This window comes from Homo sapiens, chromosome 3 (assembly GCF_000001405.40).
Source record: "Homo sapiens chromosome 3, GRCh38.p14 Primary Assembly".
Lineage (NCBI taxonomy): Eukaryota > Metazoa > Chordata > Mammalia > Primates > Hominidae > Homo > Homo sapiens.
The window spans coordinates 166,661,929-166,672,364 of record NC_000003.12 but is presented as its reverse complement, the minus strand read 5'-3'; the positions used below and the strand labels follow the sequence as shown (position 1 = coordinate 166,672,364).

Genomic DNA, 10,436 nt, shown 5'->3' with positions numbered 1-10,436 from the left:
GTAGGTTTGTATGAATACCTAAGCACATTAGACCTGGGGTTTAGCAAAGGAAGATCACCAGTGATGTGAGAGTCAGCATTTTTTTTTTTTTTTTTTGAGATGGAGTCTCGCTCTGTTGCCCAGGCTGGAGTGCAGTGGCATGATCTCAGCTCAGTGCAACCTCTGCCTCCCAGGTTCAAGTGATTCTCCTGCCTCCACCTCTATGGTGGCTCACAACTGTAATCCCAGCACTTTGGGAGGCCGAGGCAGGCAGACCACCTGAGATCAGGAGTTTGGGACCAGTTTGGCCAACATGGTTAAACCCCGACTCCATCAAAAATACACAAATTGGCCGGGTATGGTGGCTCCTGCCTGTAATTCCAGCTACTCAGGAGAGTCAGCATTCTCAACAGTCGCCCGAGAACAACTGAAAGTGTATTAAAGTATATTTAAGATATAAAGAATGATTATGAGGACACAAAAGGGGCATCCCTAATTTCAGTTGGTGTATCATTCAGATTACAGATGGGCAGTGACTGATTTAAAGGCAGTATTGACTCCAATCTTGCTCTAGAAGAACTAAATACTCTCCTTACCCCATTGCCATAGTCTTCCAGTTATTAAATTGGGAAAAAATAGAACAAGATGAAATAGCTACTCACTTCCAAAAATAAGGAAAGCATAATGTTGAAGGGCTAATATCCTCGCAATATAGAGCAAAAGGAGACATATAAAGGTATTTAACTCACTGGTTTCTATTTACAGACTTCCAGGATGTTTGATAGCATACTTATCCTCAGGACACCTACAAGGGAACTGCTGAGGCAAGAGTAATCCAATATCCCATCTTAATCTGCCATTGGAAAGATAAGGCATCTACTGAAAATGTGTGAAGATGGGGAGGGAGTTGAGACTCACAATAAAAATTGGATGGGCATTGCTCTGCTGGGGAGGATGGAACAATTCATAAGACATAACTGAGACAAAAACCAAGTTACCATCCCCTCCCATTAGATGGAATAATTTTTAAAATAAGTATTTCTAGCAGACATTTTTAAGAAAAATCTCTAAAGTATTTTTCAAAATCTTAGGCTTGCAAATTGAATTTTGGAAAGGGTTCATACATCAGAGCTGCAAATGATTATACTTACCCATACCTACTTGCCCTGGCAATATGTAAGTGGGACAGAGGAAGAGGGAGAAAAGGAGTCTAAAAAAAGTAACAAAATAATGATTACCGGAAGTAAGTAGGAACATTTAGGTCTATAATAAAACACCACTATAACCTGCCACCTAACATGGGAGCATTGCCAAACTCTAAGACCACGGATTCCTTTGACGAGATGCAGAGAAAGTAAGTAAATAGATTCTTGATAGGTGAAAACATAAGCAAAGAGCCAGATGCCAGTCTGCGAGCCCACTTGTGAGCTTGATAGGCCAGAAGCTTCAAGTGACCAGAAGACCTAGGGAAGACTCCAAAGTGTCAGTGAGCATTAGAAGAAGAAAAGCAATGATGGTAATACCCAGGGATCAAAGGCTAAGACACTATTATTTTTTCCTGGACTAGTTAAGTCTCAATATTCTTGTCAATCTCAAGTAGGGAAGGTCTATATCTTACGAGGATAAAGAATAAGACATTTGTAACACAATGGAGGCAGACCTTTCTATTATTTTGAAAATGAAAGAAAAATAAAGAGGATATGATTGTTAATGAGAATAAAAAGGCATACAATTTTTTAAAAGTACTCATTTTCACCCATTTTTCTTTTTTTTTTTTTTTTTTTGAGATGGAGCCATTTTACTTAAAAGATGTTTATATATTGAAGGCTTGTCTGCTAAAATGAAATAGAATATCTTATCAATAATATTCTATAGTAATTTGTAGTAAAATAAAGGTGAATGATTTTTAAATCTATAACATTCTAAAGGGGATTTTGTGAATCTTGTGTTCCATAAAATGCATACTTTGGAACTAAGTCACTTTAGTCTAATACATTGATCTTTCTTGTTTTAAATCATGGTAAAATTTTAAGCTATCCTAAGAATCTATAGCCACATATTTCAAAAAGTATCTACTATTTGCATATATTAACCATTGATATTTAAACACTGATATTGGATTCCTTCGCAATTATAACATATGAAATTAATTAGCTTCTGTGTTTATATTTTAACAATATTTACATAGCTTTAATAGACAGTATCATTAACTTACATTTTTAATATTAAAAAAGTATTATGACTATATCTTGTTCCAAAATAAGAGAGCAATTAGGTTACAACATCTGTCACTTCATTGATTATTAAGTATTATTTAAGTCATCTGACTTTCTAGGCAGATGTTCTTGTCCTCCCTCACAACTCCATGTGACTGTTTCCTGAATTGTCAAAGATTATATTTACTCTAACCAAATCATATAATTAGGTCTAAGGCTTTTCTAATTTTATATCACTTCATTAAACATTTTTTGAATGTTTATATTCAAGCATTGCATAGTTTATTGATGGAAGGGGTGGAATAAAACTATCTGACTTTGTGGTCTGGTAGAAGACAGTCACAAATAATTAAATAACCTATCATGTAAGTTGAAAACATATACAAAAATGAGTTAAAACAACAATATGCCTGTTGACTATTTTTAAAAATAGCAACTAATCTTAACAGAGTATTTTGTAAAAGCATAACAATTTCCTGAGTGACTTCTAAGGCCAATTTGTATTGTAATGGCTGGAAAGAGAAAGGGAAGGACAATCAGTTTGTGGTAAAAATATGAGAAAGGTAACAGAAGTTAAAACAAAAAGAGCAAATAGATTAGTTGAGGAATAGAAACAATTTCTATGTTACTGGGACGTAGGTTGCCTGGATAAAATTTTGACATGAGGCTGACAAAATCAGACCATAGAAGCCACTTGATGTTTCACTGAAGAATTTTGCTTGGAAAACTCTAAAGGGTTTTGAGGAGAGTAGCTGGAATCAGAGAGACCAGTTCAAAGCTGAGAAATGTCAATAATTCATGAAATTTGGCCTGGCATGGTGGCTCATGCCTGTAATTGCAGCACTTTGGGAGGCTGAGGAGGGTGAGTCTCTTGAGGCCAGGAGTTTGAGACCAGCCTGGCCAATAAGGTGAAGTCCAATCACCACTAAAAACACAAAATTTAGCTAGTCATGGGGGCACATGCCTGTGGTCCCAACTACTTTGGAAAACTTATGAAGTCCCTATTGAGGAAAAAAATTGATTAAAATTATTGAAGATCGCTACTTAAAGTAATTCAAAGGATGATGAAGCCATTAAATACAAAGAAGGACCCAAGAGAAGGATCAATTTTTGAGAGCCAATAAAATTTGATTTTGAATACACTGGATATATAAAGTTGTCTAAAGACTCATGGCTCATATTCAGCCAAACCTTATATATAGGTTTGAAACGTATTGAGTCAGAGGTAGCATTTACAACTGACGCATACTCATGTTGTCCAAAACTGTGGGAATAGATTAATCCAAGAAAAGTGCTTAGAGAGAAACTTGGAAAAGATCTAGTGCATATTGTTAAGCAATGAGTTCCTTAGGGTTAGAAGAACGTGGGCTGGCATGGGGACTGAAAATGTGCAGTTAGACCTGTAGAGAATCAAAAGAAAATAGACTTAGGGAAGCCAAAGACAGAGAGACTTTGAGGAGGAAGGGAGTAGTATAAGAACAAAAAGTGGATAAATAGGCATGACAACAGACCTCCAGCAGATTTTGCAAGATGAGAGCGAGCTACAGATTTCAAAGGATAAGGAGAAGATGGTAAGGAGGAAGACTAATCTTACGAGGATCTTAGTAATGAAAGTTATAAGAGAAATAAGATAACTCATTGGGAGATCACAGACTAGGGAAAATGTCTTCAGAATGAAAAAAAAGCACAAACATGATTAAAAATCAAACTGAAGAAGCTAGTTGGGAGGAAAAGATAATTCAAATAGTTCTAATTGTTTCAGCCCTCTACTCCCTCTTTGCCAGGTAATCTTACATGTTTTACACATGTAACTCAATCCTCACAATAATCTGTAATGTGGGTAAGGTCATTCCTATGGTACAGCACAGAGAACAGAGTCTTAGAAAGTTTAAGAAGGTTTCATAGTATGAGTGACAGAACCAGGAATCACATTAGTGCTATCTGAATCCAGAACCCATGTTCTTTTTATTGTCCACCTTGATTCATCAAGATTGATTCTGTAAAGCAATAGGCAAAGAATATTTGAAGACAGTTACAAGGTCCCCAAGTAAGTGAAATGTTGTTCTTTCCTTCATAACTAGTTGAAATCTTTTTCTTACCATAATTATTTCATATTTTTTCAGCCTCCTTCTGTAACAAATATTCTATATCCTCATTCTGCAAGTGTAAATGTAATTATCAGCCAGTTTAGCCTGAATTGTATTAGGTAGTGAAGGTCTTTCTAAGAAAGTTCCTTAGTACCTAACTGCATCTGAGGCAGCTCTTGCAGAGAAAACCTATCCTCTCTAAGTGCTACAACCATAGAACTCACTTCCTGTTTTTCTTTACCTGATCCCTTTGACATCATCTTCCAGCACCCCATCAGATAAAGTAGGATTTACAGTTCATAATATAATATGATATTTATAATATAATACAATATTTCACATACAAAAACATATGATATAGTAATCCTACTTTATTAATTATTGTTCTGTCTGATGTGTGTTCATCACATTGTATTTTATTCATTACACAGTTGTGTCAATCATACCAAGTGATTCATGACAAAAAGGTAGCAAGGAGATAATCTACTTTTTAATATAAAATGAATTAAAATATAAGCTGGCTATTAAATGGTCAACTGTGTTTTAAAGTGAGTCCTGCAATGAAATGATAAGTAGTAAGTACCTATCCATTACCAAAGTGATTCCTTCAAAGTAGAACAGGAGGACGATTAAAATTCTGTTGATAGAATATTTATTCATAGTCATTATTCAACAACAGACACTTCGTGACCTCATAAAAATGCTATCACCCATTTTCTCATTCATATGTAACACCAGAAAAAATTAAACTGGCCCCAATCATAATTTATATGGGCAATACAATCCCTTACTTATACTTTAATGCCATTTCATCAAAGAACTCTCATATTTGTCACTAAATGACATACTAAAATTCACAACAAGCTGATATCTAAGTTTTACTCTTCATTTAAGGGTGCAGTTATTTGATATAACCGACCCACGAAATACAAATAGCATAGACAAATAGAAATCTCCAAATAATGTATTATGTTAGTTTTCACCAAGGATAATGTGTTACCTAGAATTTATTCATAAAGTATTCTAAGTTAAATTTGAAGCCAAGTTGTATTTTTTTTCTTTTTCTTTCTTTTTGTTAAAACAAATAATACACACACCATATTGTGATAACTTTATTTTGCAGTAATTTTCAGGGTCCCACATTGTCTAATGAATACTTACATAATTCAGTTTGGTTTGGTAGGAAGAATTATGCCCTCACTCCTCCCAAATATGTGCATAATTTAATTTCCAGAACCTGTGAATAGCTGCTTTATAAGACAAAGGTGACTTAAAAATGTGATTAAAGATCTTAACTTAAGATAGGTAGATTATCCTGGATTATGTAATCACAGGGATCCTTAAATACAGAAAAGGGAGGCAAGAGAGTCAAAGTTAGATTCTGACCTCCAGGGTTATAAGATAATAAATTAATGTTGTCTTAAGCCCTCATGGTTATAATAATTTGTCACACTTCCATACAGAAGCCCCAGTTCTCAAACCAATTAAAGATCTTTTAAATGAATGCCTTAAAAAGTACCCTACCTAAAGTCAAGAAACCTGCAGACAAATGGAGCTTACATTGTTCCCAAAAACTTTCTTTGTACTTGGAGGTACAAGGCATATTGGGAGTGAATATATTGAGTGTGTGCTATTTTGTGACACATTTATTTAATAGACCGTATTAGTCCAAGGCTTACCATATCATTATTATATGTGCATATATGGCAAAAACAGATTATCACTGACAAAAATATGTACCCTTCTTGTAAATAAATAAATAATTCATCTGTAGCTTTTATATTTGTAAATCAGAAAACTTTGTTGTTAAAAATGTTGTATTTAGGAAACAATTGTATTAAATATTTATTATGTCCTTTTATTGTCTCAAGAAGTGTAGGGATAAAAAAGTTTGTACTTTATATATGAGGGTAAATTTTTCCTGAGCATTCGGTGGACCAAAATCAGGGACTCCCACAGGCAGTTCTAAAAGTGCATATTTCTGATCCCCATCTAAAAAATACTAAATCAGAAAGCGTTGTTGCTGTGATTCCTTTTGTCTCGTATTTTGCCTCAGGGATTTTTGTACATAATATAATTTGAGAACATTTTGAGACCATTGGTAGAGGATGGGGGAAGGGTATGCTATAAAGACATCATATTTTATATTCATTTTGTATTATTACTAACAGAAAGAAACAAAGCACTCAGAAGAAACTCAGCATTGAAGCAGCCCTATTTGCCTAGGGCTCAGGAAGGCAAATGACTTTATTGAACAAATGACCCTGTGTTAAGTTTTTGAGGGTAAAGTAGATTATAGGTAGAGGAAATAAATACAGAGACATATTCTTATGAAAGTTTGGAAATGCTGACATAATGATGAATTTAGCTTTTATCAAGATTCCACAGTCTGTATTTTCTATATGTATGTATATGTACATATGTATTTTCTATATGTAGGTATATATGTAGATACGTATTTTCTATATGTATTTATATATGTAGATACGTATTTTCTATACGTATGTATATATGTACATACGTATTTTCTATATGTATGTATATATGTACATACGTATTTTCTATATGTACGTATATATGTACATACGTATTTTCTATATGTACGTATATATGTACATACGTATTTTCTATATGTATATATATACATATTTTCTATATGTATGTGCATACATATAGATACATATAGAAAATATATGCATGTATACACACATGCACATATACTTACATGTAAATACAAATATATGAATCGACATATGTAAATTTTTGACAGCATGAGTCTTCACCTATACCCCCAAATCTAATCTAGCTCACAATGTTTCCTTTTTTATCTTTAACCTTCTTTCTGCTATGCTTTTGTAGTGAGAATCCTGGTTCATAACATCATCAACATATTCATTCATTTGTTGAATTCTATAATGCATATAAAATAGTTTAAAAATTGCTTCACCTATACCACCAAGGTAAGCAAACCACTTAAGAGAATATACATTGCTTGCAATTATTTGCCTCTGCTGCCCCTACCCAAGCCTAATGTTATAGAGTCATAGATTGAATGCATGTGTTATTTCCCATTAACTATCTCTTTCTCTTCAGTATAAATATAATATCCATTGGTGATACGGGTTGGCTCTGTGTCCCCACCCAAATCTCATCTTGTAGATCCCATAATTCCTACATGTTGTGGGAGGGACCTAGTGGAAGAAGACTGAATCATGGGGGCGGGTCTTTGCTCATGCTCTTCTCATTATAGTAAATAAGTCTCTCAAGATCTAATGGTTTTTAAAAAAGGAAATTTCCCTGCACAAGCCCTCTCTTTGCCTGCTGCCATTCAGATAACACGTGACTTGTTCCTCCTTGCCTTCCGCCATGATCGTGAGGCTTCTTCAGCCACGTCGAGCTGTAAGTCCAATTAAACCTCTTTCTTTTGTAAATTGCCCAGTCTCCAGTATGTCTTTATCAACAGCATAAAAATGGACTAATAGAATTGGAAATACTATTAGGTTCACTGTTTTAAGTTTCTTTTCTGTACTACTAGTTTTCTCCACTTTTTATTCTTATTGCTTTAATTTTATTTTTAAATATATGGCACAAAAACATGCTTTGAAAAGACAAATGTTTGCACAAAGATACTTGAATCTGCCTCCCAACACTTTTTTTTCCATATAAACTTTAAGATCAATTTGTCTAGCTCAATGTGAAAACTCACTGGAATTGGATTAAAATCACAAGTTAATTTTAGAGATCATACACATAAGTGCATATTTATGTGGATATATGCCATCCATTCCTATTTTCCCAGGAGTTATTAGAGTGAATATGTGTTGAATCTGATAAAAGTCTTTGTCAGCATCTAAAAATCTATGAAGATAATTTTATAAATTTTCCTATTTAGAGCTGTTATTTCAGTGAATCCTATCAGTAGATTTTCTAATACTGAAACATCCATACATTTCTTGTATAAACACGTTGCATAATGAGGAAGATAACTGGCAAATATTTCAAGTTCTTAGTAAGGAAACCCTAAATCATTAGAATTTCCTGAGTGATAGAAGTTCTTTGTTATAAGTGGTGGGTCCTGATAATTTATGCTAATGAGGTGATCCAGGGTGGTCCTCAGGTAGTTTATGCTAACAAAATGTCTCAGGATAATGGCAGGACACCCCAGCAAGACCAAGCACATGTTTAGAGAGATGGCTATTTTACTTGCCACCCTCCAAGGAAAGGGAAAGAGGATTAGAGATTAAGTTTAATTATATGACCAATGATTTAATTAAACATGCTTATGTAATAATATCCTAGTAAATGAGGGTGTAGCAAGGTGGAGGAATGAAAGGCTACTACATTCATACTTCACTTAGGAATACCAAATTTTAACAACTGTTATAAATAAATTTTCAGTGCCACAAAAGAAATAGCACTCGAATATAAATTTAATTTTCTCATCAAGGTAATTTTTACTTCTATAGAAGGGTGCAACTCGCGGATGGAGCAATGGTGAGAGCACACCTGAACAAGGAGTGGAAGGTCTTTTTATTCCTGATACAGGTAGCCTCTACTGCTGTGTTGTTCCCCTATTGGCTAGGGTTGGACCACACAGTCTAAGCTAATTCTGACTGGCTATTTTAAACAGAGCAGGGGTACGAGTCAGAGTGGTGGGGTGAGTAGTTTGGCAGGAAGGGCACTTAGAGAACAGGTGACTCAGGATGACTCAGGTCAGAGCAAGTGACCAGGGTTGACTCAGGATGGAGCAGGTGACCAGGGGTGACTCAGGATGGAGCAGGTGATAGAGGATAGGAGGATTTTTTTTCTGAAACTAGGGGCAAGGAGATGAAGTGAATGAGGAAGTTAAACTTTAAAATGAAGAACAAAGAACAGGGGAGGTGAATATACTGATACATTGGTTCCTTGCAGAGGATCTCCGAACTCATTGTATTTTACAATTTACAGGCTAAAACCTTTGAAGAGGAATTTATTATATCCTACACAATTATCTGCACATGGAAAAGCACCACCATGAGAATAAAAAATCAGGTGAGTAATCTCAGTACCTGATTTTAATTTCATATTGTTGAAACAGGCATTGAGGAGGGTCAGAAAGATAGTTTTGAATTTTTAATGCCACCATTCCCTCATCTCCCACCAGGGGCCATGCAGCATGAAGAGTCTGCACCAGGAGGAAGAAAAGTACAGTAACTGGAAAACATTACATTGATGTCAGTGCTGCCCTGTCAATAGTAGAGAAGAAAGCCATGCTGGGCTTAGCCAGTGCCTGTGCGTGGAGGGAACGTTTGGACCAGAGCTAGCCATAAAAGAATCACCCATCCTACTGGTCAGAACTCGAGTTTCTTGGCAAGCCACACTGAGAGGACTTTTGGAAACTATATAAAGACATGGCAACTTAAACATATGCTCCTGAATGACTACCGGATCAGTGAAGAAATTAAAAAGGACATTTTTAAACAAATGAGAATGATATTTGGGACAACCAGCATAGTCAAAGTTATCCTGAGCAAAACAAGCAAAACTGGAAGAATTACATTGCTTGACTTCAAATTATACTACAGAGCTATAATAAGCAAAACAGCATGGTCCTGGCATAAAAGCAGACACGTAAACAAATGGAATAGAATAGAAAACATGGAAACAAATCTATATACCTAAAGTGAGTTCATTTTCAAAAAAGATGACAAGAACATACATTAAAGAAAGGAGAGTCTCTTCAATAAATAGTGTTAGGAAAACTGGATATTCATATGTGGAATAATGAAACTTGACCTCTGTCTCTCTCCATATACGAAAGTCAAATCAAAATGTCTTAGAGTCTTAAATCTAAGATATCAAACTAGGAAATCACTACAAGAAAATATTGAAGAAACTCTCAAGGACATTGGGCTAGACAAAAATTTATTGAGCAATACCTCAAAAACACAGGCAGCCAAAGCAAAAATAGACAAATGAAATCACATCAACTTAAAAAGCTTCTGTACAACAAAGGAAACAAAGTGGAGAAGCAAGCCACAGAATAGAAGAAAATATTTGCAAACTACATAACTGACATTGGATTAATAACCAGAACATATAGCTCAAACAACTCTATAGGAAAACATTTAATAATCTGATCAAAAATGGACAAAAGATTTTAAAGGATATTTCT

The 10,436-nt window shown here is 34.8% G+C and overlaps 1 pseudogene, besides 1 other annotated feature; it reads left to right on the top strand.

Annotated features, from left to right (window-relative positions):
- RN7SKP298 (RN7SK pseudogene 298) lies at nucleotides 2,243-2,336 on the top strand (annotated as a pseudogene).
- Nucleotides 8,419-9,618: an enhancer, noted in NCBI's record as "P300/CBP strongly-dependent group 1 enhancer chr3:166380535-166381734 (GRCh37/hg19 assembly coordinates)". NCBI's record gives its function as "activates an origin of replication core promoter dependent on BRD2, BRD4, P300/CBP, MED14 and CDK7 cofactors, with strong dependence on P300/CBP, by STARR-seq in HCT116 cells {active_cell/tissue: HCT116}" and the evidence as "EXISTENCE:reporter gene assay evidence [ECO:0000049][PMID:35650434]".